Source organism: Homo sapiens, chromosome 4 (assembly GCF_000001405.40).
Source record: "Homo sapiens chromosome 4, GRCh38.p14 Primary Assembly".
Lineage (NCBI taxonomy): Eukaryota > Metazoa > Chordata > Mammalia > Primates > Hominidae > Homo > Homo sapiens.
In genome coordinates, this window is record NC_000004.12 from 78,715,896 (window position 1) to 78,743,865 (window position 27,970).

Genomic DNA, 27,970 nt, shown 5'->3' on the forward strand with positions numbered 1-27,970 from the left:
AGTTTGTGATTTTGAGGGCCTCTAAACGTATTACAGCAGTGGCAGCTGCTGCACGCAGACATGAGGGCTAGGCTAAAACAGTAAGGTCAAGTTTGGACAGAAAGGCTACAGGGTGTGGTCCTGGCTCTTGTGTAAGAATTCTGACCGCGCTAACCATGCCTAGGAAGGAAAGGAGTTGTTGTTTTGTAGAAGGTGCTGGGGTTTGAGGGGTCAGTCGGACACGATTGGCAGGGAGAGCACGTGAGTTTTTATGAGAATTATGCCGAGATAGGTAACAGATGAGGAAGAAATTTGGGCTTGATTGAAGTAATGGGGGCTGTCTGTGAAGCTTTGCGGCAGTACAGCCTAGGTAATTTGCTGAGCTTGATGGGTGTCAGGGTCAGTCCAAGTGAAAGCGAAGAGAGGCTGGGATTAAGGGTGCAAAGGAATAGTAAAGAAAGCATGTTTGAGATCTAGAACAGAATAATGGGTTGTAGAGGCAGGTATTGAGGATAGGAGAGTATATGGGTTTGGCACCGTGGGGTGGATAGGCAAAACAATTTGGTTGATAAGGCGCAGATCCTGAACTAACTTGTAAGGCTTCTCTGGTTTTAGGACAGGTAAAATGGGGGAATTGTAGGGAGAGTTTATAGGCTTTAAAAGGCCATGCTGTAGCAGGCGAGTGATAACAGGCTTTAATCTTTTTAAAGTGTGCTGCGGGATGGGATATTGGCGTTGAGTGGGGTAAGGGTGATTAGGTTTTAATGAGATGGTAAGGGGTGCATGATCGGTCACCAAGGAGGGAGTAGAGGTATCTTATACTTGTGGGTTAAGATGGGGAGATACAAGAGGAGGACACAAAGGAGGCTTTGGATTGGGAAGAAGGGCATCAATGAGATATAGCTGTAGTCCAGGAATAGTCAGGGAAGCAGATAATTTAGTTAAAGTGTCTCAGCCTAATAAGGGAACCCGGCAGGTGGGGATAACTAAAAAGGAGTGCTTAAAAGAGTATTGTCTAAGTTGGCACCAGATGGGGAGTTTTAAGAGGTTTAGAAGCCTGGCTGTCAATACCCACAACAGTTATGGAGGCAAGGGAAACAGGCCCTTGAAAAGAAGGTAATGTGGAGTGGGTAGCCTCCATATTGATTAAGAAGGGGATGGGCTTACCTTCCACTGTGAGAGTTACTGGGAGCTTGGCGTCCGTGATGGTCTAGGGGGCTTCCGAGGTGATCAGGCAGTGTCAGTCTTCAGCCGCTAAGCCGAGAAGATCTGGGAAGGAGTCAGTCAGAGAGCCTTGGGCCAGAGTTCCAGGGGCTCTGGGAGTGGCTGCCAGGTGAGTTGAACAGTCCGATTTTCAGTGGGGTCCCACACAGATGGGATGCGGCTTAATAGGAATCCCAGGCTGCAGGCATTCCTTGGCCTAGTGGCCAGATTTCCGGCACGTGTAGCAAGCTCCTGTGGGAGGAGGTTCTGGAGGAACGCCTGGTCGCTGCAGTTCAGGTGTTTGGAAGTTCTTGTGTGCTGGAGATGTGGCTGGGGTTTGTCTCACAGTGGAGGCAAGGAATTGCAACTTTTTTCTATTATTGTACACCTTGAAGGCGAGGTTAATTAAATCCTGTTGTGGGGTTTGAGGGCGGGAATTTAATTTTTGGAGTTTTATTTAATGTTGGGAGCAGATTGGGTAATAAAATGTATTTTGAGAATAAGACGGCCTTTTGACTTTTTAGGGTCTAGGGCTGTAAAGTGTCTCAGGGTTGCTGCCAAACAAGTCATGAACTGGGCTGGATTTTTATATTTGATGAAAAAGAGCCTAAACGCTTCTGATTTGGGATGAAGAAAAAGGAGCATTAACCTTGACTATGCCTTTATCTCCAGCCACCTTTTTAAGAGTAAATTGCTGGGCAGGAGGGGGAGGGCTAGTCATGGAACGAAACTGTAAGCCAGACCAGGTGTGAGGAGGGGAGATGATAAAAAGATTATAGGGTGGAGGAGCAGAGGCTGAGGAAGAATTGGGACCTAGCTCGGCCTGGCGAGGAGCAGCCTGGGGAGGAAGGGAGAGGTCAGATGGGTCTGTAGAAAGGGAAGATTAGAAAGACTCAGCGACGCTTGGGGTTGGTACTGAGGGGACAGGCGGGAGGGACAGAAGGAAGATTTGGGAAGAGTTGCACTGGGCACAGAGACTAGGAAGGGACTGATGTGTAAAAGAATGCCTGGACGTCAGGCACCTCAGACCGTTTGCCTATTTTACGGCAAGAATTATTTAGATCTTGCAGGATGGAAAAATTCAAAGTGCCATTTTCTGGCTATTTGGAACTACTGTCGAGTTTGTATTGGGGTCAAGCGGCATTGCAGAAGAAAATAAGGCATTTAGGTTTTAGGTCAGGTGTGAGTTGAAGAGGTTTTAAGTTTTTGAGAACACAGGCCAAGGGAGTAGAAGGAGGAATGGAGGGTGGAAGGTTGATGATAATGAAGGAAGCAAGCCTAGAGAAAAGAGAGAGTAGAGAAATGGAGGGAAGGGGTTCGGGGGTTCTTACCTTCCAGAAAAGTGGGAAAAGGGGTTGGGGCACAGAGATAGGAGGTCAGGGCATGGAAATAAGGGATGGGGTGCAGAAATAAGGGGTTGGGGCACAGAAATAAGGGATCAGGGCATGGAAATAAGGGATCGGGGCATGGAAATAAGGGATTGGGGTGCAGAGATAAGAGGTCGGGGCACAGAAATAAGGGATTGGGGCACAGAGATATAAGAGGTTGGGGCACGGAAATAAGGGATTGGGGTGCAGAGATATGAGGTTGGGGTACTTGCCCCTCTTCTAGAAAAGCGGGACTTGCCGCTAAGAATGAAGGAGAAGGGGTTGAGGGGTACTTGCCCCTCCCCCAGAAAAGCAGAGAAGGGGTAGACACAAGGAGAGAAGGGGTTGGGGTACTTGCCCCTTCCCCAGGAAAGCAGGACTTGCTGCTAAGGGTGAAGGACCAAGGCAGGCGTCCCTGCGTGGTCTGGCACCTTTGAAACATGGGTGAATAATGACAGAGGCGTCCCTGCAATGATTAAACACCAAGGGAAGGCTGCCTTCCCAGTCCGTGACCGGCGCCGGAGTTTTGGGTCCACAGATAAAATGTGTCTCCTTTGTCTCTCCCAGAAAATGAAAGGAATTGAAATTAAGAGAGGGGAGAGATTGAAGAGTGGAAAGGAGAAAGTGGTTGAGGGACAGTGAGAGAGGTTGGAGAAGAGAGTAAGAAGAGGCTGCTTACCTGATTTAAAATTGATGAGATGTTCCTTGGGCTGGTCAGTCTGAGGACCTGAGGTTGTAGGTGGATCTTTCTCATGGAGCAAAGAACAGGAGGACAGGGGATTGATCTCCCAAGGGAGGTCCCCCGATCTGAGTCACGGCACCAAATTTCATGCACATCTGTGTGAAGAGACCACCAAACAGGCTTTGTGTGAGCAACATGGCTGTTTATTTCACCTGGGTGCAGGTGGGCTGAGTCTGAAAAGAGAGTCAGTGAAGGGAGATAAGGGTGGGGCCGTTTTATAGGATTTGGGTAGGTAAAGGAAAATTACAGTCAAAGGGGGTTTGTTCTCTGGCGGGCAGGAGTGGGGGTCACAAGGTGCTCAGTGAGGGTGCTTTCTGAGCCAGGATGAGCCAGGAAAAGGACTTCACAAGGTAATGTCATCACTTAAGGCAAGGACCGGCCATTTGCACTTCTTTCATGGTGGAATGTCATCAGTTAAGGTGGGGCAGGGCATATTCACTTCTTTTGTGATTCTTCAGTTACTTCAGGCCATCTGGGCGTATATGTGCAAGTCACAGGGGATGTGATGGCTTGGCTTGGGCTCAGAGGCCTGACAGAAGTTTTCCCTTGGCCCTTGACAATATATTATATGATATTAAATCAATGTTATATTACTTAGAAGTGATGATGATATTATAGTTATGCGGAGAATGACTTTGTTCTTACTGCTTGTATTAAGGTATTAAGGGATGAAATGCTGTGAAAATGGTTCAATTAAAAACAACAGATGATAAATTATCCGTGAAAAAAAAAAAAACAACCCAGATACCAGTCAAATTGAAATAGAGGAAAAAAACAACAGAATGAGAGAAAGAGAGAAAAAGGCAAAATCTTAACGATTGTTAAATCTGGATGATGGGTATACAGGTTTTCATTGTACTATTGTAACCAGCCAGTGGGTTCATGTTGCCCACTGCCCAGATAGAGCCGATTTATGAAGACAGGGGAATTGCAATAGAGAAAGAGTTTAATTCATGCAGAGCCTGCCGAACAGGAGACTGGAGTTTTATCACTCAGAGCAGTTTCCCTGAAAATTTGGAGGTTAGGGATTTTCAAGGACAGTTTGGAGAGCCAGGAAATGGGTGCTGCTGATTGGTTGGGGATGCAGTCCTAGGAGTGTGGAAAGTGTCCTTGAGCCTGCTGAGTCCGCTTCCGGGTGTGGCCACAGGACCAGTTGGCAGGATCGGTGGAGCCATCAGCCTTCAGAGACAAAAACCTGAAAAGGCTAATCTCAGGTTCTCCAAGAGTGATGTGATCTGCAGGAGTAATTGGGGAAGTCACAAATCTTGTGATCTCTGGAATAATGGCTGGTAGTCCTTTCCATCTACACTACAGCAGAATTCAGGCTCCTTTCATTCTAATCTAGTGGTCATTCATTAGCTTTACAAAGGCAGTTTAGTTTTGGAAAGGGCTATTATCATTTAAACTATAAACTAAATGTATTCCAAAGTTAGCTTGGCCCAAGCCCAGGAATCCTTAAGGGCAGTTTGAAGATTAAGGGCAAGATGGGGATTGGTTAGATGAGATCTCTTTCACTGTCATAATTTTCTTACGGTTATAATTTTTGCAAAGGCGATTTCACTACTATTTCAATTTTTCTGTGGCTTTACCTTTTCGAAAAAGTAAAACTGAGGGGGAAATATTGCAGAGTTCAATGTACAGTACATTTTTTTTTCCTTTTAAAATGCAGAAGAGGGTTGGTCTACTTCAAAAAGTTCATTAATATTAGAATTATATTCTAAAATAATGGAAGGCCTTATAGAAATCTTCTACTCAGGTTTGGGGTTGCCGTTTATAACTTTTAGCTCCTGCTTTCCCCATGCTTACAAACCCCCTTTCTTTTTTCTTTTTTTCCCCCACAAGTTGCTGGACTGTGTCATAAGATTGCAGCATGCAGCCATGTTCATAGCACCACGCCGAATCCTTTCTGGTGAGGGTATCTCATATTGTGGCATTGGCATTGTCGCTGCTGACATTTTGAGTCTGCCCCCTCTGTATCTGGTGCGGAGTTGATCATGATGAGGTGACAGAGGCAGAACTGCCAAAGGTGACAGAATCATCTGTGTACACAGTTCTCTTCCATTTCCGGTTTTGAGTCCTGGGCTCTTTTATCTTGCTCCTCTTTCTGGCACAGCCCAGACTCCCTTCGGGGTCATTTCCGAAGTGGAACCCGTGCTCGGTCACTCCGCCTTTCTGTTTCCTTCCCCTCAGCAGTGAAAGAACCTTGCTTTGAAAATTGTTCAAAGGGGGATGGGGTGGTTGGCAGTTGTAAGTAACTAAATTCAAACCTTATGAAAGAGCATGACTTTAGGCTCTTATATAAATATATCCTGAAAAAAGTATATGTACTCTGAAGGGAGAGACCAGTAAAGTGTTGCTTAAAAAGAATATAGCTAACAATAGTGACCACAAAAGCATCATGCATATGAAAAAGCATGACCTTTGGAGTTAGGTAGACCTGGGCTTGACTCAACCATGCCACTTGCTGACAGGGTGATCTTGAATAAATTACTTAACTTCTCTGAACCTCAATTTCCTTATCTATAAAATGGAACAAACAATACCTGATTCTTGCTAGAGTGAAAAGTTACAATATAATTTTTCCTTCCTGGCTGAGAGGCTTCCAGACATCTGAACATGAATCTGGTGTAACTGCTGAGCTCAGCCCAAAGTGATCCTTTCTGTTCCACAGGAATGATTGAGTACACAGCCAAAATGAGAGACAGGGGGCAGTTGAATAGGTTCCCTGAGGGCAAAGTGCAAAGCCCTTGTTTGAAGTCTTTTATAATTCAAATCTATCGAGATAGTATCAGCACTTCTCAAACTTTAATGTGAAGAAGAATCACTTGGAGCTCTCGTTAAAATGCAGATTTTGATTCTTTAGGTCTGCAGTGGGCTTCTAACTGTAGACGTCCTGAACTTCTATCTAGAACTTCTATCTAGCTCCCGGGGGATGGAGATGCTCCTCTTTCATGAACCACCCTTTGAATAGCAAGGCCCCAGGGCATATATTTAAAAACCTGAGATTTCTCCAGATTGGGAACTTCTAGGATTTCCAGACTCTACTTTTTCTTCATTCTCACTCTCCTTCTGGAGAGTGGGCACTTAACATGCCCATTTTTAGTTATTATTCTATTAATTGCAATCCTCCTTTCACCGTGTTTTAATGAAGTAAAGCTCCTTTCAAAACGAACTAACAGCAGTTGTTCGCTGCCAGCGGAAACCTCACTGAAGAATTAAATACAACTATGAGCTTCTCTGCAAACAGGAAGGAAGGAGTGAATGGGAATGAGAGAGGAAGCTTGGCAAAAAAATGTCCCTGGGAGCCGCATTTATCCCCTGCCCCAAAGGGTGGACAGGACTACAGTCCCTTGTAATTGTGAAAGTGAAAAGGGGGAAAGCAAAAATGTAGAGACCTGAACCTCTGAGCATGTGCATTTTGAGTAAGTCCTGAGGCTTCTTCTTCCCTTCCCTCTCCAGGCCTCCCTCAGAGGTCAAATGCTGGTCCTTCTGGAGTGACTGGAGGCCCAGGACCTCCCCAGCAGCTTCTATCCTATTTAAGGCCTTGCTTAGTGAGTTCCAGTAGCCCAGACATTTTGAGCTGCTTGATTTAGCACATGTTTACAGTCCACAAGGTGTTAACATGAAATAATTGGTTAAATTTCTCACCAACAATCACCAAGTTTTGAGATTAAAAAAAAATCAAAGCCGCAAACACTTTTTGAGAGTCCATTAAAACCCAAGAATTAGGTTAGGGACTGTGAAAAATCAAACAATGGGGAACTCCACTGCCTTCAAGTTTTAATTTTATGAAAGGAAATAGACATGTTATAAAAATCAATGCTGTAACAGTGAGACAAGAGAGAAGGTGCAAGTAACCAGAGATGGGAATGATGCAGGCCATTAAACAAGAGTCTGCCTGTGCCCAGTGAGTACCACAGGGCCTGTTATATAAATGCATAAATATTGCTGAATAAATAAACCAGTAAGTGAGAATGAGTAAGTGAATGCAGAACAAGACCTTAATGTCTCAAAGAAAGCCAAGCCCATTTTTTCCCTATTTTTTTCCCCCTTATCTGATTATCCACTGCTAGGATTTCACAGGCCTCCCATCCAGCTCACTACTTTGCATCCCCTTGACTGACAGCAGTGAGGACCTTGGAATGTAAACCACCCCTCACTCTGCCCTTATCAGACATTTTTGGGGAGCTTATTTGTATATCAATATCTATATCTACCAGGAATTTCCCTCTATTCTCAGCAGTTATCTTGAGAGGAGTCCTGTAAGTTTAGAAACAACTATTGCCAATTTTCTAATCAAAGAAAAAAGAGAGCATCATGGATTATGTTTGTGTCTCCCCAAAATTCATAATATGTTGAAATCTAATCCCCCAATATAATGGTATTTGGAAGCAGGTCTTTTGGAAGGTAATTAGGCCATGAGACTGGAGCTTTCATGAATAAGAAGAGACCCCAGGGAGATCTCTTTTTTTTCTTTTTCTTTTTTTTTTTGACATCTTGTTCTGTCGCCCAGGCTGGAGTGCGATGACGTGATCTCGGCTCACTGCAACCTCTGCTTCCTGGGTTCAAGCGATTCTTGATTCTCCCAGGTCAGCCTCCCAAGTAGCTGGGATTTCAGGCACCCACCATCATGCCCGGCTAATTTTTGTATTTTTTGTAGAGATGGGGGTTTCACCATGTTGGCCTGGCTGGTCTTAGACTCCTGACCTCAGGTGATCCTCCCGCCTCCGGCTCCCAAATTGCTGGGATTACAGGTGTGAGCCACCGTGCCCAGCCTTGCTTCTTTCTATCACGTGAGGATACAATGAGAAGTCTGCCGTCTGCAATTTGGAAAAGGGCCCTCACATAATTCTGACCATGCTGGCACCTTGATCTCAGACTTTCAGCCTCCAGAACTGTGAGAAATAAATTTCTGTTGTTTATAAGCCACCCAGTTTATGGTATTTGTTATGGCAGCCCAAACTGATTAAGACAAGGGGGAAGAAGAAGGGATTACAAATGAGATAGCCTAGGGAAACGTACAATGGCAGCAAACTGACCCTTTCTGGAACAACACCTGCAGCAGGTCAATCATGCCCCAGAGCAATGTGGGACAAAGGAGGACAAGGGCGTATGCCCATTTCAATGTTTGACTGCAGGTTGTTCCTCACTTCAATAATACATCCAACTGAACAGAATAATATTCTAGGTACTAAAAATGAAAAAATGTGTTGTTTAAGTTTATATAATTCTATTTCAGAGCTAAAACATTGCTCTCTTTAATTAGCATTTATAGAGTACTAGTTAAGTACTCTATAAGTGCCCCACCAATTGATGGCCAGTGCCGTGGCTCACTCCTGTAATCCCAGCACTTTGGGAGTCTGAGGTTGGCGGATCACGAGGTCAGGAGATCGAGACCATCCTGGCTAACAGGGTGAAGCCCTGTCTCTACTAAAAATACAAAAAATTAGCCGAGCGTGGTATCATGTGCCTGTAATCCCAGCTACTCGGGAGGCTGAGGCAGGAGAATTGCTTGAACCTGGGAGACAGAGGTTGCCGTGAGCCAAGATCATGCCATTGCACTCCAGCCTGGGCAACAAGAGCGAAACTCCATCAAAAAAAAAAAAAAATCAATATGGTTAATTAATACTTTTGCCATACCTATGTAAATAATCAGGCCAATTCATGTGTGTGTGTGTGTGTGTGTGTGTGTGTGTGTGTGTGTGTTATCATATAACAACTTTTAAGGAAAATTTGTGAAACTTTGAAATGTGAAAATTTAAAAAAAGATTTTTATTTCCAGGTGTCTTTTTAATGGAATATGAAGTGTTATCTAGTATACCTTTCAGGGTTTGTCTCATTGTATGGGGTCTGTGCCTTTCCCTGTCTTTGAATGAGCTGTCTTATAACTCTGTAAGTTGTAGAAAATTGATAATAATGCCAACAATTTCTGTTCATAGAACTGCAAACAAATTTTGTCAAAGTGAATATGCAATGGTTTCATATATAGAAGAGACTAGTTTGCCTCTATTAGCAAATTCATTTCAGCATTCCTGACTGCCAGTAGATGTGTCTGTTCTTTGAAGTCTCTATGAACTGTTTTTCACATCTTACAGTTGCCTTATAAATAAAATATTTCATGTGTTCATTTTGTATTTGTATAAAATCCATGATTTCTTTCTTTTTCTTTCCTTCCTTCCTTCCTTCCTTTCTTTCTTCTTCTTTTTTTTTTTTTTGGCAGAGTCTCGCTCTGTTGCCCAGGCTGGAGTGCAGTGGCGCGATCTACAACCTCCACCTCCCAGGTTCAAGTGCTTCTCCTGCCTCAGCCACCCAAGTAGCTGAGATCACAGGTGTATGCCATGATGCCTGGCTATTTTTTATATTTTTAGTAGAGATGGGGTTTCACCATGTTGGCCAGGCTGGTCTTGAACTCCTGACCTCAAGTGATTTGCCTGCCAAGGCCACCCAAAGTGCTGGGATTACAGATGTGAGGTGCCGCGCCTAGCCCATTCCTTTTTAAAAATTATCCTTTAATATAGGAATAGTAAGCTAACCAAGTGTATCAGACATTCATGCCATATTGGCAGTGGAGAAAATAGATCAAATAAAAATGTATAATCACAAAACAGGATGTTTTGTGCACAAAATAAACATTAAAACCTTATCCATTAGAGCTGACAACTTTTTTTTAATTTTATTAATAGTATAGAGACAGGGTCTTGCTACGTTGTCCAGGCTGGTCTTGAACTCCTGGCCTCAAGAGATTCTCCTGCCTCAGACTCCCAAAGTGCTGGGATTATAGGTGTGAGGAAGTGTACAACTTTAAATATGGCATATCACTATCAGTTTTCCTCAAAGCACAATAGTTGTACCTCAGAGAACAATTCGACATTTTTCCATTTTTTTTCTCAGTGGTTATCAATCGAAACTCTTTGTGATATTATTGGTGCAGGGAAAGGGAAAACTTCTCTGTGTCAATCTGTGACAAAAAAGAGATAATAGAAATTTGTTCCAGGCCAGGTGTGGCAGCATGTGCCTGTAGTTCCAGTGCTTTGGTAGACCGAGACAGGAGGATCTCTTGGGCAGGAGTTCAAGACTAGCTTAGGCAAAATAGCAAGACCCTGCCTCCACAAAAAAATTATCCAGGTGTGGTGGCACAACTTGTAGTCCCAACTATTAAGAGGCTGAGGTGGGAGGCTTGCTTAGGTTACAGTGAGCTACTATTATACCTCTGCACTCTAGCCCGAGTGACAGAGCAAGACCCTGTCTCTAAAAAGTGAAATAAAATAAAATAATAGGACTTTTAAAAAATTACTGATTTTGCAGGCACATAGGGGCTTCATGGAAAAGAATTTAAAACCCGTAGAAGCAATAATGGCTGGGAGCTTATATATCATTATAACAAAGGGTGATAAACTGTGAAGTGACCAGATGAGAAAAAAAAGAGGTTTGATGTTTGTACTTCTAGGAGTGGTAAAATTGAGAGAAGGTAAATATATGGGGGAAACTAATAGAACGTAAGAGTTATTTTAGAAAGCTTTATTTGTGCTACCCATCTCAGTGCTGATTTTTCATTTCCTGTGCTAAGAGTCATCTTGTCCTCTTGGTATGGAAGAGTAATCAAGGGACACTTTTACAAAGAAAAATTTATGCCCTGCTGTTAGGCAGAGGGCAGGCAGAGAATTCCTCCTACATCTGCTGTTTCTCAATTGCCTTCAGCTCAAAATAATCCATATGTTAAAGTGTCATATTTTGGGGTGGCATATTTTGATCCCCTTCATTGACATTCACTTAGACTGCTTTATTTATGCCTGCTCTCTGATATCAATATGATATTATTTCTCCCAGGATAATCACTGAAGATCCTCCTTATAGCTGTGAGAGCTGGGCCTGGATTTCTGTATGGCTGAGTTGCCTCCCTTTACTTCCCTTTTTTTTTTCTTTCTTCCTTCCTTCCTTCCATTTTTTTTTTTTTTTTTGAGATGGAGTCTCGCTATGTCACCTAGGCTAGAGTGCAGAGGCACGATCTCAGCTCTCTTCAACCTCCGCCTCCCAGGTTCAAGCGATTCTCCTGCCTCAGCCTCCCAAGTAGCTGGGACTACAGGCACCTACCACTGCACTCGGCTAATTTTTGTATTTTTAGGAAAGACGGGGTTTCACCATCTTGGCCAGGCTGGTCTCGAACTTCTGACCTCATGATCCACCTGCCTCAGCTTCCCAAAGTGCTGGGATTACAGGCTTGAGCCACCGCGCCCAGCCTTTTTTTTTTTTTCTTTTTTTCTTTTCTGAGTCAGGGTTTCCTACTCTGTCACCCTGGCTGGAGTGCAGTATTGTGATCACGGCTCACTGCAGCCTTGACCTCCTAGAGTCAAGTGATCCTCCCACTTCAGCCTTCTGAGTAGGTGGGACTACAGGTGCATGCCATCATGCCTGGCTAACTTTCAAAAAAAATTTTGTACAGGCGGGTATCTCACTATGTTGCCCAGGTTTGTCTTGAACTCCTGGACTCAAGCAATCTTCTCGCCTCAGGCTTTCAAAGTGCAGGCATGAGCCATCACACTGGCCTGCCTCTGTTTATTTTCTTATCACATCTAGTTCTCAAGATTTCCTGCCATTAGAGAGTCACAAAGAGAATGTAGATTGGATCAGAACTGTTGCTTTAGCCAAAGTAATAAGTTACCATTGATTCAATCTTCAGAGGAATTGGAGAATGACATAAGAACTAACCCTGTTTTATTTTTGACATGTATATAATGGTTCTAATAAAAATGTTTTGTGGGGTGGGGGGGTTTTGTTTTTTTGTTTGTTTGTTTGTTTTTGAAATAGAGTCTTGCTCTGTCATCCAGACTGGAGGTACAGTGGCGTGACCTTGGCTCACTGCAGCCCTGACCTCCCAGGCTCAATCAATCCTCCCGTTTTAGCCTCTCAAGTAGCTGGGACTACAGACCCACACCACCATGCTCAGCTAATTGTTTAAATTTTTTGTAGAGGCAAGGTCTCACTATATTGCCCTGGATGGTCTTGAACTCCTGGGCTCAAGCAATTTTTCCACCTTGGCCTCCCAAAGTGCTGAGATTACAGGTATGAGACACCACACCAGGCCCAGACACCACACCAGGCCCAGAAGTTCACCCATGTTTTCTTCTAGTACTTGTATAGTTTCATTTTTTTACATTTGATCTTTGATTCATTTGGAGTTTATTCTTATGTATGCTGTGAGGAATGAATCTAATTTCATATTTTTCCAAATGGCTATCCCGTTGTCCCTACACCATTTATTAAAAAGTCCCATCTTTCTCTCAGGGATTTGGAATCCCATCATTATCATATATGAAATTTCCATATGTAGTTGACTCTATTGCTGGACTTTTAACTCTATTTCATTGGTCTGTTTGAGTACTTGTGTACCAGTATCATATGATTTTAATTATAGAGGCCTTACATTTTATTTTAAAAGCTGGTGTGGCTAGGCCCTCCTTATAGCTCTTGCTTTGCCATGTTTTCCTAGATATTCTAGGATGTTTATTTTTTCATATGAACTATACTTCTGAAACTTGCCTAGTTTCAAAAATAATGTTTGTTTTTATTGGAATCACATTAAAATTTTGAATTAGGTAGGCAACTGATATCTTGATGATTTTGAGACAAGAACAAGGGACATGTTTTCATTTGTTTTAGTCTTACTTTGTGTCTTTAGGAATGCTTTATAGGTTTTTTTTTTGAGACGGAGTCTCGCTCTGTCGCCCAGGCTGGAGTGCAGCGGCCCTGTCTCGGCTCACTGCAAGCTCCGCCTCCCGGGTTCACGCCATTCTCCTGCCTCCACCTCCTGAGTAGCTGGTACTACAGGCACCCACCACCACGCCTGGCTAATTTTTTTGTATTTTTAGTAGACACGCGGTTTCACTGTGTTAGCCAGGATGGTCTCGATCTCTTGACTTCGTGATCCGCCCGCCTCGGCCTCCCAAAGTGCTGGGATTACAGGCGTGAGCCACCGCGACCGGCCAGGTTTGCTTTTTTTCATGGATATTAAATATTTTCTGTAGGCTGGGCACGGTGGCTGACACCTGTAATCCCAGCACTTTGGGAGGGTGAGGTGAACAGATCGCTTGAGGTCAGGAGTTTGAGATCAGCCTGGCCAACATGGTGAAACCCTGTCTCTACTAAAAATACGAAAATTATCCAGGTGTGGTGATGGGCACCTGTAATCCCAGTTACTCTGGAGGCTGAAGCAGGAGGTTCACTCGAACCCAGGAGGCAGAGGATGCAGTGTGCCAAGATCATGCCACTGCACTCCAGCCTGGGAGACGGAGCGAGACTCTGCCTCAAAATAAAGAAATAAACAAACAAATAAATATTTTTTGTAAAAGCTATTCCTAAATATTTTATCTTTTTTTGATACCTCATTAAATGGGTATTTAAAAAGATATAAAATAATTGGATTTTATTTGTGTATGCAAAAAATATTAATTTTTACATGTTTCCTGTTAATTTTATACGCTGCTAACTTACTGAATGGTTTTAGTGTTGTATAAGTTTTATAATTAATTATTCAGAGCAGCACGGTCCAATAAAAACATAATGTAGTTGGCAGGGCTTGGTGGTTTGTGCCTGTAATCCCAGCACTTTGGGAGGCTGAGGTGGACAGATCACCTGAGGTCAGGAGTTTGAGACCAGCCTGGCTAACATGGTGAAACCCCGTCTCTACTAAAAATACAAAAAAAAAGCCAGATGTGGAGGTGTGTGCCTATAATCCCAGCTACGCAGAAGGCTGAGGCAGGACAATTGCTTGAACCTGGGAGACAGAGGTTGCGGTGAGCTGAGATCGTGCCACTGCACTCCAGCCTGGGTGACAGAGCGAGACTCGGTCTGAAAAAAATAAAAATAAAACTTTCTAGCAGCTAAAATTAAAATGGTTAAAAGAAATAGGCGAAACAAGTATTAATGATAAGTTATATATTTAACTCAATGTGCCAAAAGTATTATTTCAGCATAGAAACAATATAACAATTATTAATAAGGCATTTTACATTCTTTCTTCATACAAAGTCTTTGAAATCCAGTGTGTGTATTTCACATTTACAGTACATTCCCATTTGGATCTTAAATTTTTATCAGAAATATCTTATGTGACTTTAGATTTCATAAAATTTACATTGAAAATATATATTCATGTATTCAAGTTGCTCCAAACGTACTTAAGTTTTCTTGTCACTCTAGCATGTACATATATGTATATATCTTCCTTTAATATTCACATCGACATTAACAAAACTAGTTCTTCTTTTTTAGAAGAATAGATTTGACTATGTTGTAAAAGCCTACATCTGTCCACGTAAATTTACTAATTCTTGCATCAACATCAAATTCAACAGGAATTTCATTAACAGAAAAATAGTCTAAAAGTGAAGAATCAAAGCTTCCCAGTGGCATTCCTCAACCAATGGGGATAAAAACCTCAATACATTTTCTCATATCCCGTTATTCAGGTGAGCAATTCTGAGAGTTACTCCACATGCTCCTCAAGAGGTCACGTACAAACTATCTTCATCAGTTACCTTGATAATGCGCCCTATGTCAGCTTTTCCTCCTTCCCTGTCTAATTCCCTCACTCTAGCTCGCTGAGGTCACCTGCCCCTAAAACTGCCTGCACCCAAGTCTTTATCAGAAATTCAAGCAAAGACAGAGATCTATCAAGTTTAAAGGATGAGGCATGTGTAAAAGTTGGAGCCCTTATAGAAGAATACTAGAAATATTTTATAGGTTCTTAAAATACTGTTGAAGAACCATACATTAAAACTTTAAGGTGAGAACCAGAAATATGCATTTAAATGTATTCCTTATTAAATTAAGTAGAGAGGAAAGCAATGTCTGAAACTGTAGTCTGCACTGTGGTTATATAAGAGAATATTATCCTTAGGCATATGCAACTTACTCTTAAAAGTTCAGGAAAAATACGCATCTATATGTTTGTATGTATACATGTGTATATGTATAAACAGAGAAAGAGAAAGAGAGAGAATGGGAGAAACAGATAAAGCAAATGGGCAGAATGTTTACAATAGGTAAATTTGGGTAAAGTGTATACTCTTAGCTGGGCGTGGTGGCTTATGCCTATAATCCCAGCATTTGGGAGGCTAAGGTGGGAAGATTGCTTGAACCCAGGAGTTAGAGATCAGCCTGGGTTACAGAGCAAGACCCTGTCTCAAAACAATTTTTTTTTTTTTTTTTTTTTTTGAGATGGAGTCTCGCTCTGTCACCAGGCTGAAGTGCAGTGGTGCGATCTTGGCTCACTGCAACCTCTGCCTCTCAGGTTCAAGCAATTCCTCTGCCTCAGCCTCCTGAGTAGCTTGGACTACAGGCACACCCCACCATGCTCGGCTAAGCTTTTTTTTTTTTTTTTTTTTTTGTATTTTAGTAGAGATGGGAGTTTTACCATGTTAGCCAGGATGGTCTCGATCTCCTGACCTAGTGATCCACCGCCTCAGCCTCCCAAAGTGCTAGGATTACAGGTGTGAGCCACTGCGTCTGGCCATAAACATTTTTTCAAAGCATACAGTCATCTGTTGGTATTTATGGGGGATTGGTTCCAGGACCTCCAGCACATAACAAAATCCATATTTTCTAGTCCCTGAGTAATATAAAATGACACGGTATTTGCATATAACCTATGCACATTCTTCCATATACCTTAAATCACCTCTAGATTACTTTTATAATACCTAATACAATGTAAATAATATGTAAATAGTTGTTCTATTGTTTAGGGAATAATGACAAGAAACAAAAGTCTGTCTACATTCAGTCCAAACGTAATCTTTTTCTGAACATTTTCAATCTGAGGCTGGTTGAATTTGTGGATGTGGAACCCATGAAGATGAAAGGCCAACTGTATATGGTTGTTCTTTAGACTATTCATGCAGCTTTTCTGTAAGTGTGAATTTCCAAATTAAAAGTTAGAAAAAGTTATTATAGACTTTTCAAGACAGCAAACTTAAGTCATAAGGCTTCAGGGTCAGCAGCCCTTTTTCTTTTTACCACCTATCTTTTAAAATGTCCTAAAATGAGCTGGGCACAGTGGTTCATGCCTATAATCCTAGCACTTTGGGAGGCCAAGGCGGATGAATCACCTGGGGCCGGGGGTTCGAGACCAGCCTGGACAACATGGTGACACCCTGTCTCTACTAAAAATACAAAAATTAGTCAGGTGTGGTGGTGGGCGCCTATAATCCTAGCTACTTGGGAGGCTGAGGCAGGAGAATTGCCTGAACCCAGAGGGCAGAGGTTGCAGTAAGCCGAGATTGCAACACTTCACTCCAGCCTGGGCAAAAGAGAGAAACTCCATCACCAAAAAAAAAAGTCCTAAAATGCTGACAAGTTGATATTAATAATAAAGGCTCCTATCTGGGCCCACTAAGAATAAGAGGAAACCTTCACTCAGACATGATTTTAAGCAGTCACACTTTGTCCCACTTAAAAAAAAAAAAAAAGTAATGTTGGCTACCACCGTTAAAAAGTTGGTTGGCCCTTTCCTTATCTTAATGGACCAGCAGGCAATAGTACTGTGAACATTCATTAGAAAATGGTAAAACTGTTGAGATCTTGGGTTCAAAGGTCATGCACTGATGTTAATTTTTTCCCAGGGTTTCTTAGAAGTGTTGGCCAGGAAAAGCTCTTGCTGAGTTAGTAAAGACAACACAGATAAGATGGGGGAAATTTCTGTTAATTAGCTAAATGTACACTTGCTAGCCACTTGAGCAAATGAGTATGAGGCAGCTCTATCTTGTCAAGGCTGGAAGGAATTTTACAACTGGTAGTATACAATTCCTTCACTTGCCAGAGTTCTACTATTGGTGCAGGTCCCAACTGTCATCTGGTTTAACTGCTCATCTGCAGCTTCCATTGTCTCTGATGACACCTGCCATGTTGCTTACATATGTTCAGAAACAAGCAGGTCACTATGCCTGCAACAGCACTAATAATACACCTCCTTGTTTAAGCAATGGTGTTGACTGCATTATAGTTTTTAACAGTAAAAAAATTAGCAAGAACTTAAATGTCAATCAATAAGAAAACTTATTTCATTAAAATTCTAAGTATCATTAGAAAGAATAAGTTGAATCTATATATACCTATTTGAAATAAAAAAAAAATTTTAAGAGACGGGGTCTCACTATGTTGCCCAGGCTGATCTTGAACTCCTAGGCTCAAGTGATTCTCCTGCCTCTACCTCCCAAAGCGCTGGGCTTACAGGCGTGAACCACCATGCCCAGCCCTAATACCTGCTTTTTTTTTTTAAGTCTCCAATATATTAAGTTTAAAAAATTGTAAAATAGTTTCATATTATTCTGATTTTTGTACGAAAGATGTAAAAGTTTATATACAAGTGCAATTTTTAAAAAGTCTAGGATAAATTCCAAACAATTCCAAACTGTTAACAGTGTTTTTCATGGGGAGGATAATGAAAACAATTACTCCCACTCCTTTTGTTTCCATTGGAGGAGAGTTTCCCTTATACTTCTTTGCTCTTACTCCTCATTCCAGTCTCTAGAGGTTGTCTGGGCAATACAGTGGGAAATGCTTATTGTCTTCAACTCTTATTCAGGCAAGCAGCAGGCATTGGAGAACCACCACTCCTGGGTGGAGGAGTGGCTTCTCATAGTGACAGGTTTGTAAAAGTGAACAGGTGAAGCTCGATCACATTTTGTTTCCCTCTGGTTGGAATCAGACTCTAGCAGAAACCATCCCTCTATTCCTTCACTCCATCTGTAAGTTTATGGGGACAGGCTCACTTAGGAGGGCAGGCTATGCCTGTACAATGCTCCTAGAGACTAGGGCAGATAAGTGGTAACCTGGCCCACCACTGCCTCCCACCTAGGCCACATTCTACAGTAGTTCTAGCAGTAACAAAACTGACGTTTTGATCTTTATCCACCTCACTCTGTATTTCTCTCATTGGTTTTGAGCTTAGGTAACAGGAGTATTATTCATTAGAAGCCCTCAAGTGTGAATAAAAACAATATTTTCTTTTAATTTTTTATGCTTCTGCATTGTTTAAATTTTTTATTAAAATGAGCACATATTACACAGAATAATATAGATATCTCTAAATATAAAGATATGAAGACATAAAATCTATATCCTTAAATTTTCCACCTAATCTTAGAATTCCTGTGTCCTTCTTGATTTGTATTGTCCTTTATACTTCAGTTGCTTGAAGCAACTGCATCGTCTTCTAAGGTTAAAAGAGGTAATTTGCCTTCATCTACTCTCTACTCCTTTGGTCACTGGACACTAGTTTTCTTGTTCCATACATTCTTTTCCCTTTCTGATTAAACCATCTAATTTGGCTTCCTTCAAAGAGGTTGTTGCCCTTTATTCCAGTAAGTCATTCCTATTCTGACTTGGAAAAAGCTTTCCCTATTTTTCTAGGCCCCCAGGATACTTTTGCTGTGGTGACAGCCTACGAATGGTCTCCCAGGCATTTATAGAATGTTCCCTTCATTTTTCACATCATAGCCTGCAAATTTATAAAGAAAGCATTATGTCCTCTCAAATATTTTTTTCTCCAGGCAAAATATTCTCATTTTCTTCAACTGTGTGTCACACAGCATGGTTTCGATTCCCTATTTTGGCCACTCCCCTCGAAATGGACCCCAGTTTGTCTATAAATCTCCTAAAGATTGACACCAAAAGGGGAATACAGTTCTCTGGGTGATCTGATCATTGTGGACTAGAAAAGAGTAGTGTCCTACTTGTTATAACAATGGCATACTCTTACCACAGTGGTAAGAGTGGCCAGTATGCTCTCACCAGATATGTACACTGGGGATTATCTTGGTCTGTTAGGGCTGCTGTAGCAAAATACCATAAGTTGAGTGGCTTATACATAAAAGAAATTTATTTCTTACAGTTCTGGAGACTGGGAAGTCCAAAATTAAGGCATAATTCAGTGTCTGGTTAGGGTCCACTTTCTTACAGATGGCACCTTCTTGTGTTCTCACTTAGCGAAAGGAGTTACCAAGCTCCCAAGGGCCTCTTTTATAAGGGCACCAATCTCATTCCTGAGGGCTCCACCCTCATGACCTAATCACTTCCCAAATGCCTTAACTCCTAATACCATCACTTTGGGAATTAAGATTTCAACATACAAATTTTGGAGGGAGTGGACACAAATATAGCAGTGATCATGTCACAGGGTATACTCATATTGGGCTTACTGTGATTTAAAACATGCAAATCACTTTCATCTATGCCATCAGCAAAACAAATTTATTTCAACATACAAACATCTCAAATCACTTGCACACAATTATATTGGAATTATAATAATGATCAATTATTATATAATTATCATTATTACAATTAGAATTATATTTATATTATAATTATATTAATATTTATGTATTAATATTTACAATTATTATTATAGTTCCAATTTAAAAAGTCTCCATGTTTCCTACAATGGACATCCCTTCACAAGCAAATACCCTCCCTTCTTTACCTTCTATTCACCCCTCAACCCAGGTGACACAAGCCTTCTGATCTGAGTAATATGAAGTTACTCTTGCAAATAATGTAATAAGAAAAATGCAATAGTCTCTTTTCAGGCTGAGTCTTGACTTTTATAATGAATTTGACTTTGATAGCTATTTCTTCTTCTAGGGTTTCAGACACTATTGGTTCCAACCTCACATCACTTCTCAAAAGCTTCCCTTCTCATTCTAAGCAGTTTCACTTTGAGCTCTCACTTAAATCTGTCTCCATCATTACCCTGTTTGAAATGCTTCAGTGTTTCTTGAGAGCAGTGGTTCTCAACCCAGTTACATATTGCAATAATCTGGGGAGCTTTTAAAAAATATCTAAGCCCAGACCCCATCCCAGACTAATTGAATCAGAAGTAATAGAGATTGGCCTGAATCTTTAAAACACCAGAGGTAGCCCTTATGTTTTTGTCCAGTCTTATCTCTCATCCTTTACCCACTGATGTAGCTATATTAAATGGAGGCCCTCAACACTCACTGTTTTGTCTAGATTATATACCGTCAGTTAAAGTGTCACATCCTCTGTGAAGCCCTAGACTTACATCTCCAATCTCATTCTATTTTTTAATTTTTTTTTAGAGACAGGGTCTCACTATGTTGCCCAAGTTGGTCTGAAACTCCTGGGCTCAGGTGATTCTCTGCCTCACCCTCCCAAAGTGCTAGAATTACAGGTGTGAGCTACTGCACCCAGCCACTCACCCTATTTTCATCTTTTTTTCTTTACTGCGTAATTCCTTTGATTTGATAGGGAGATGGGGTTTAGGTTAACTCAAGCTGGTAGGGCTGCAGGTACACCCAAATCAACGGCCAAGCAGAGTAGGGTGGGTGGTGTGTAGGGTTTGTGGAGGGGGGTGAGCACTTTCAAACCTTTCAAAATCTTCACATCCATGCACACACATGCATATTAATACACATACACCGCCTGTGAACAAAAGCTGGCTCCTCTTTAAACACTTTAAATTGTGAAAAAGGGGAAAAGCACATTAGGGAAAGAGATAAAGGCTGTAGCAAGATTGCTTTGTAATTAAAGAATCAAGAGAAGGAAGAATGGAGTAAGCTGGGCATGGGGTAGCTGATGCCTGTAGTCTTGACTACTCTGGAGGCTTAGGCAGGAGGATCATTTGACCCCACGAGTTTGAGGCTACAGTGCACTAGGATGGTGCCTGGAAAGAGCTGCTGCATTCCAGCCAGTGCAACATGGTGAGACTCCTTATCAAAAAAAAAAAAAAAGAATGGAGTAGATGGGGGCTAATATAATAATGACAGAAAAGAGTTTGCCTTTTAGCAAGCGGCCTAGGATGACTGGGATGAGAGAGTTGGGGCAAACATGGGGGAGAACTCATGGGCTTTACCTATCTGGTGGGCCGAGAGGCCTGTGGTCTGACCAGCTGTCTGCAGCTTCTCATAACCAGTTTGATTCTGAACTAGAATGTTAAGGTTATTGGTCTGTTATTTGTGGTCAACTTCTTTGCAGTTTTGAATATTTCTTGCTTTTCTGATTGTTTCAAAGGTTGCTATCTTGTGATTTCATTTGCAAATTGTCTTAGTATCTGGAAATAGAGCATAATATTGGTTGCCTACCCAACACCCATTTCCTCTTTACCCCACAAATAACTCCTCTCCCACACAGCCATGTGCTTAAAAAAAACCTGATTCCACTGCATCTCCTGATCATGATGAATCTTAAGTTGAGAGCAATCTGTGCATTACAACTGTTACAGGTTTGGGATATGCACATAACCCAAGCAGGCCAAATCAGCCTGGTTAGGGAATAGGTTTCTCTTCTTTGTTTTTTGTTTGTTTGTTTGTTTCTTTTTGTTTTTGTGTTTTAACTGTTTCTGAAGCATTTATTTTATTTTACTGAGACAAGGCCTCACTCTGTCACCTAGGCTGGAGTGCAGTGATGCCATCATAGCTCACTGCTGCCTTGAATTCCTGGGCTCAAGTGATCCTCCCACCTTAGTTTTTTGAGTAGATATGACTACAGGCACGCACCACCACACTTGGCTAATTTTTTTTTCTTCTTTTTTAGTAGAGACAAGGTGTCACTATGTTGTCTTAACATTGTCTAGGCTGGTCTTGAACTCCTAAGCTCAAGCAATTATTTCGCCCCAGTCTCCCAAAGTGCTGGATTACAGCTGTGAGCCACTGTACCTGGCCTCTCTTCTTCTGGACATAAAAATGAATACATGAAGCTGGATGCAGTAGTATGTACTTGTGATTTCAGCTATTTGGGAGGCCGATGTGGGAGGACTGCTCGAGCTCATTGGTTTGAGAGCAGCCTGGGTAACGTGGCAAGTAGAAAGAAAAGAAAAAAAGAGGAGAGGGGAGGGGAGTGAAGAGGAGGGGAGGGGAGGAGAGGGAAGGGAACAGAAGGGAAGGGAAGGGAAGGGAAAGGAGGGGAGGGAAGGGAAGGGAAGGGAAATTTGTAGAGGGAAGGGAAGGGAAGAGAAGGGAAGGAAAAGGGAAAGGGAAGAGACATTTGTAGTTCAATGACTGCTGGCAGCTAAGAGAAAAACAACATGATAAAGCACTCCTGAGGACAGCAAAGCAGAGGATGCTAAGTCAAGAATTCGAGTATTTGAGTCACTGAATCAGCCAACCTTGGATCCAACCCTACCTCTGGACTTCTTGTTATATGAGATAATAGATATTATTGTTCAAGCCACTTCAAGTGAGGATTTCTGTTACCACAGCCAAAACATCTTAACATTCATCTAGATGTAAACTGAAAAGATTGATTGCTCTATACTCAAATTAAATTATTATCACCCCATAATTTCTTTAACCTTCTTGAATCTTGGACACAGTTACCTCTGTCCAATATTTATTCTAGGACTTTACATTCAAATACCACTGAATTGTATAAGTTGGTGCTACCATTTAACTCATAGATGCTCTGGAAAAGTGAGGGAGAACTAATGTAAGAATGTTTTCCTATTCCTAAGGCTTGGAAGGGAGTCAACATTGATTTTTAACTTATCAATATAGCAAGCAATTGAGTTATTAGGTTTATTTTATGATTATGATTATTAAAGTAACATACATCTGGGATACCTCCAGAATAGAATCTCTAAATGGTAGGACTGTACAATTTAGAGAGAGGAAAAACTTATCAGCCAGTGTGTGAATATTTTACTGTTACTGAAAAAATAAAAAGTCCTATTTCCATTCATCCATCATCTAAGGATCCATCAACCTTGATTTGCAACTCTAGAATATTTTATTGTTCTTAGAGGAAAACAGAATAGTTTTTGTAGCTGTGACTGCTACATCTGCTGGTCCCTGAAAGTTTGATAGAGCAGCAGGAGGAAATAATCATTTCCCAATGACCTCACGATTGAAAGAAAATGGTAATTTTTTTCTTCAAGGAAATGGTTTTTCAGATAGAGAAGTTAGAAGGTATGTTTGGTTTGTTTGTTCATTTTTTTTTTTTTTTTTTTTTGAAGACAAGGTCTTACTCTGTCACCCAGGTGGGAGTGCAGCTGCGAGATCTCGGCTCACTGCAGTCTTTACATCCCGGGCTCAAGTGATCCTCCCACCTCAGCCTCCCGAGTAGCTGGGACTACTGGACTGGCCTGCAACACCATGCCTGGCTAATTTTGTATTTTCTGTAGAGATGGGGTTTCACCATGTTGCCTGGGTTGGTCTCAAATTTCTGTGCTCAAGCAATCCACCCGCCTCGGCCTCCCAAAGTGCTGGGATTATAGGCATGAACCACCACGCCTGGCCACTTTTGTTGTTGTTGTTGTTGTTGTTGTTTAATGATGATACAGAAGAGACTAACAATTTGCTTGGTGATTTATTGTCCTTGTTGTATTCTTGGCAACAGAAGTCACTGTTAAGGTGGTTTTTAAAACTATCCAAAAGCCTAAAGAACAACTGTAAAAACTGCAAACTGGCTGGTGGAATGGTTCATGCCTCTAATCCCAACGCTTTGGGAGTCTGAGGCAGGAACATTGCCTGAGTCCAGGAATTCGAAGCTGCGGTGAACTATCATTGTGCCACTGCACTGCACAACTACAAATTGATCAAATGAATTAACACTTAGGAAAGAGGAAGTTTAAGTGATTCTTTCAATTAGGGAATAATATACTAATATACATATACAGTATTTCACATAATCAGGCTTAGTAGATAAACAATGAACATATACTTTGAATTATTTACACATCTGATTTAAAAGATTAAAGTATTTTAAGCCTTTAAATTGAAATGAAAGAAGTAAACTCAGAAATTATGGCTTGTGAAATCTCTTTACAAGCTTCCTTTACAGCAAGAGATTTTTGCAATAAGACTAGGCTGTTCCCAACCTCCTTGCTGTTGGAGAAACTAGTGGATGACTTATCAAGTGTTATACTAAGGAATTAGTCCAAGGATTTGAAGTGTAATTAAACTTCCCCTAGTCACTCTTTATCCAATTAACATTTTCGTTTCTTTAAAGCACTTATCGCTATCTGAAATGTTTTTGTATGTTTGTTGTCTAATTCCATTAGAATGGAAGCGCCACAAGAGCAACAGCCTCATCTGGCTTATTTGCTTCTATAAAACACCTGATGCCTTTTAGGGGCTTAGTAAATATTTGTTGCGTACCTAAATGGATGAACATATAAATTTCAGTTAAACATATTTTAATTTACAGAGAAAAAAATAGACTCGCTACAGTAGATCTGAACTAATTCAATTAACTAGGAAAATTTTCACTGAAAAATATTGATGATGTGATATTGTCAACAGATAGGCATGTGTATTTAGGAGCTGGCTATAAAAAAGAATGCCAAATATGTACAGATTCCTTCTTTTTTTTTTTTTTTTTTGAGACAGAGTCTCACTCTGGCACCCAGGCTGGCGTGCAGTGGCTGCAACCTCCACCTCCTGGTTCAAGCAATTGTCGCGCCTCAGCCTCCCAAGGAGCTGAGATTACAGGTGCCCGCCACCACACCTGGCTAATTTTTGTATTTTTAGTAGAGATGGGGTTTCACCATGTTGGCCAGGCTGGTCTCAAACTCCTGACCTCAAGTGATCCACCCACCTCAGCCTCCCAAAGTGCTAGAATTACAGGCGTGAGCCACCACACCCAGCCAGATTCCTTCTTAATAATATAAAAATATTTACAGTATGGTTTGGATTACTTTAAACCTTTCTAAACTTAAATTTAAATGTGCCCAGGGTGGAAAGGTATTTACTCATTAAGAAGGACAAATGATATATCTAGAATACCTAGAATAAGAGATGTTTGACCCAGCCTGAGACCTGGAACAACAATCACCAAAAGCAATTCTTTTCACTGCCCTAAGTACCTAACTACCCTTTCACATGAGGCCCCTCAAAATCTCTTAAGACTGTGAAAACTTTCCAAAGTCAGACAGACAAAATGTGGTAGAGTGAATAACTGAAACTTCAGGTATCTAACTTCAAAGCGTGTGTGTGTGTGTGTGTGTGTGTGTGTGTGTGTGTGTGTGTGTGTGTGTTTCTGATGTAAGATGCTTTCCAGTAGATCAGAGTTTGGTAACCTGTCAGGCATAAAAAGTGAGAGACAAAGGCAGGAGTGTAGAAGCCTTTGGAAGGAAGAAATGCTTGACATTTATGAAATCCCCTGCTTTTCGTGGTTGTCTTAAAATTTTTTTGGTTGATCAAAAAGTGCAGATCACATTAACAAGGGGCCAGATGCTGTCAGACAAATGTCAGCATCAGATAATGCATATGGATAGCATGCATGACATGACCATCACCATCATGATCACCGTCAAGCTTCTTATTGGAGAAACTGGTAGATGACATATCAAGTGTTATACTAAGGAATTAATGCAAGGATTTGAAGTGATAAATTTGACACTCAAGAGATCTCATCCTTTAACTGAGTAGCTCATTACTGAGTAGTGATTAGTAAGGGTTTTACAAGGTAAAAAGTAAAAATGCTGAACTGGTAACTGTATATATTTAATTTAATATTTAATACCAATATTTAATTTAATACCAAATTATTTCTCACCTTAAACAGTTACAAAAATAATTTCTTTCTAAAGAATCTGCTCTGTAAAATTCTTACTGCAAAATAAAGTGAATGAAAATAAAAATATCTTGAAATCTAGCAAGGTCAATTAACATTTGAGAAAAGCTTTGAAATGTGATGTTTAAAAACACACAATTTTTTTTTTTTTTTAGAAATTCAGCCTATCAACATTCATGTCAAAACTTTTCATCATAGATCAACACCTGTTACAGCTACTGTTTTATTTTTCTCAATGCCAATGAAAAAAGGGATTCGGTAAAAGCCATGAGCCCCAGTTTTGAGATTCTCATAATTTTTGGCAAGCTCTACTACCATAAAGCCTAAAAGTTTTGTTTGGACTTCTAGCCGGACTGGAAGTATAGACAACTTTGCATATATACACAATGTTCCTGGTTACCTTTCTGGCCAAAGACAAGATTATTCCTTTCCCAATAAATATTAGTGCTTCCTGCAATACAATCTGCTTTTCCACCTGTTGTTGAAAATATTCTGTTTTCTGTCACAGTTGCTGGATTACTATTTACATTTTGATTTCACACAGCTTCTGTGAGTCTTTTATTAGAAGGAAATCAATTCTGTAGCTAGATTATAGAAAATATTTGCTTGAATTCTAAACAATCTGATCAGTGGGAGTTAAAGAGAGACCTAAGTGACTCAAAAGAAGGAAATGGAAGATTAAGCATCTGAGCTATAACTGCTCAAAAGCTCTATTTCTCCCTGGGCTGCTCAGTGGCCTGCAAGACATAAATTGATCTTGGTTCTAGTCATAGAGGGTAGGCAGGTGTTTTTGGTACCAAATAGTGTCATTTCTCTTTTGTTGTGGCAATTTTAGCAATAAGGCCAAAGAGCAATGGAGCCTACAGGACTAAACTCTTCACTGAAACTGACTCAACTCTTCTGGGGAGGGAAACTGGTCCCGTCCTGGATTTAAGCACGCAATTGCTGTGGCACCATCTCTTACAATCATAACACTCAAGAAATACATATTAACCTTTAAAAAACCGTTCTTGGGTCTTTGATCTTCACACTTTTCTTTGAACATCATGTTTTCCATAAATATAATTGAGCATGATGAGAAGCTAAATAATATAAATACTAAGGTATAACTTCTTATTGGGAAATAAAATGACATGGCTAATGTTTTACTTCTGAAAAAAGATTTTTTTTTTTTTTGAGACAGAGTCTCACCCTGTTGCCCAGGCTGGAGTACAGTGGCGCGATCTCGGTTCACTGCAACATCTGCCTCCCAGGTTCAAGCGATTCTCCTTCCCCAGCCTCCCGAGTAGCTGGGATTACAGAAACACGCCACCACGCCCGGCTAATTTTTGTATTTTTAGTAGCGATGGGGTTTCACCATGTTGACCAGGCTGGTCTCGAATTCCTGACCTCTTGATCCACCCGCCTCAGCCTCCCAAAGTGGTGGGATTACAGGCATGAGCCACCACACCCAGCCAGGAAAATATTTTCTATTTTAGCTAAAAACAAAAGTGTATATTTAGGAAAGAGATGGAATAGACCCCATCTCAGAATTCATATCAATTCTGAGGATAAACAAAGAAGCAAATCCATGGCTGTGTCTACACAATTACAAACATTCATTTAAGCATTTAATTACATGAATTCAACTAACAAAGTAAATTGTACTAAAATAAATAAAAGTCCTTTATTTTTCTTTTCAGTCATATAAGTGATATAAACAGTTGATTAGTTGAGGATATTAAAAAATTCTTAATATCACATTTTGAATTAATAATATTTGTTATACTCTAATTACAAAATAACACCTGCTTGTTATGGAAAATTTGGAAAATATGAGAAAATCTCAACAAAATTATCCGTAAATCCACCTTTCAGGTATAATTGTTGCTTTTTTAGTGTATGTCTTTGGACTTTTCTATGCATAAATTATGTGTTTAAACAAAATTGGACTAAAGTTGTATATATTGTTTGCAATTTGTTTTTTCCTGCTCAATATTATGCATGATCAGTTTTCCTTTATTCTACTACATCTAATCTCTTATGATTGATATATACATTGATGCCAATGTTTTGTTTTTATAAATAAAGCTGAAATAAATGTCTTTGTACATAAATTTGTATATCCACTTTAGATTATTTCATTATTTCATATTCATATTTCAAATAG

At 40.8% G+C, this 27,970-nt stretch overlaps 1 long non-coding RNA gene across 1 annotated transcript, besides 14 other annotated features; it reads left to right on the plus strand.

The window, feature by feature from the left end:
* Positions 1–185: 185 nt before the first annotated feature.
* Positions 186–27,917, plus strand: LOC101928893 (uncharacterized). Its single transcript, NR_188357.1, has 3 exons — positions 186–240; positions 21,844–22,018; positions 27,005–27,917. It is a non-coding gene; the product is annotated as an uncharacterized LOC101928893 (long non-coding RNA).
* Positions 2,619–3,190: an enhancer, noted in NCBI's record as "H3K27ac hESC enhancer chr4:79639668-79640239 (GRCh37/hg19 assembly coordinates)". NCBI's record gives its function as "activates a minimal SCP1, AML or CMV promoter by ChIP-STARR-seq in naive H9 embryonic stem cells {active_cell/tissue: H9 hESC(naive)}" and the evidence as "EXISTENCE:reporter gene assay evidence [ECO:0000049][PMID:30033119]".
* Positions 3,191–3,761: an enhancer, noted in NCBI's record as "NANOG-H3K27ac hESC enhancer chr4:79640240-79640810 (GRCh37/hg19 assembly coordinates)". NCBI's record gives its function as "activates a minimal SCP1, AML or CMV promoter by ChIP-STARR-seq in naive H9 embryonic stem cells {active_cell/tissue: H9 hESC(naive)}" and the evidence as "EXISTENCE:reporter gene assay evidence [ECO:0000049][PMID:30033119]".
* Positions 4,200–4,494: an enhancer, noted in NCBI's record as "tiled region #1360; K562 Activating DNase unmatched - State 1:Tss". NCBI's record gives its function as "activates a minimal TATA promoter and a strong SV40 promoter by Sharpr-MPRA in K562 cells {active_cell/tissue: K562}" and the evidence as "EXISTENCE:reporter gene assay evidence [ECO:0000049][PMID:27701403]".
* Positions 4,200–4,904: a biological region, named in NCBI's record as "Sharpr-MPRA regulatory region 1360".
* Positions 4,334–4,904: an enhancer, noted in NCBI's record as "OCT4-NANOG-H3K27ac hESC enhancer chr4:79641383-79641953 (GRCh37/hg19 assembly coordinates)". NCBI's record gives its function as "activates a minimal SCP1, AML or CMV promoter by ChIP-STARR-seq in naive H9 embryonic stem cells {active_cell/tissue: H9 hESC(naive)}" and the evidence as "EXISTENCE:reporter gene assay evidence [ECO:0000049][PMID:30033119]".
* Positions 5,128–5,612: a transcriptional cis regulatory region, noted in NCBI's record as "candidate enhancer chr4.1978 targeted for multiplex CRISPR interference". NCBI's record gives its function as "positively regulates BMP2K gene expression with high confidence in K562 cells {active_cell/tissue: K562}" and the evidence as "EXISTENCE:mutant phenotype evidence [ECO:0000015][PMID:30612741]".
* Positions 5,128–6,047: a biological region, named in NCBI's record as "CRISPRi-validated cis-regulatory element chr4.1978". NCBI's record gives its function as "regulatory_interactions: BMP2K".
* Positions 5,165–5,294: an enhancer, noted in NCBI's record as "active region_21647". NCBI's record gives its function as "activates an Ori minimal core promoter by ATAC-STARR-seq in GM12878 lymphoblastoid cells {active_cell/tissue: GM12878}" and the evidence as "EXISTENCE:reporter gene assay evidence [ECO:0000049][PMID:35858748]".
* Positions 5,477–6,047: an enhancer, noted in NCBI's record as "OCT4-NANOG-H3K27ac hESC enhancer chr4:79642526-79643096 (GRCh37/hg19 assembly coordinates)". NCBI's record gives its function as "activates a minimal SCP1, AML or CMV promoter by ChIP-STARR-seq in naive H9 embryonic stem cells {active_cell/tissue: H9 hESC(naive)}" and the evidence as "EXISTENCE:reporter gene assay evidence [ECO:0000049][PMID:30033119]".
* Positions 5,545–5,594: an enhancer, noted in NCBI's record as "active region_21648". NCBI's record gives its function as "activates an Ori minimal core promoter by ATAC-STARR-seq in GM12878 lymphoblastoid cells {active_cell/tissue: GM12878}" and the evidence as "EXISTENCE:reporter gene assay evidence [ECO:0000049][PMID:35858748]".
* Positions 6,048–6,619: an enhancer, noted in NCBI's record as "OCT4-NANOG-H3K27ac hESC enhancer chr4:79643097-79643668 (GRCh37/hg19 assembly coordinates)". NCBI's record gives its function as "activates a minimal SCP1, AML or CMV promoter by ChIP-STARR-seq in naive and primed H9 embryonic stem cells {active_cell/tissue: H9 hESC(naive and primed)}" and the evidence as "EXISTENCE:reporter gene assay evidence [ECO:0000049][PMID:30033119]".
* Positions 16,605–17,238: a transcriptional cis regulatory region, noted in NCBI's record as "candidate enhancer chr4.1979 targeted for multiplex CRISPR interference". NCBI's record gives its function as "positively regulates BMP2K gene expression with high confidence in K562 cells {active_cell/tissue: K562}" and the evidence as "EXISTENCE:mutant phenotype evidence [ECO:0000015][PMID:30612741]".
* Positions 20,071–20,130: a silencer, noted in NCBI's record as "silent region_15511". NCBI's record gives its function as "represses an Ori minimal core promoter by ATAC-STARR-seq in GM12878 lymphoblastoid cells {active_cell/tissue: GM12878}" and the evidence as "EXISTENCE:reporter gene assay evidence [ECO:0000049][PMID:35858748]".
* Positions 21,648–21,767: an enhancer, noted in NCBI's record as "active region_21649". NCBI's record gives its function as "activates an Ori minimal core promoter by ATAC-STARR-seq in GM12878 lymphoblastoid cells {active_cell/tissue: GM12878}" and the evidence as "EXISTENCE:reporter gene assay evidence [ECO:0000049][PMID:35858748]".
* Positions 27,918–27,970: the final 53 nt, after the last annotated feature.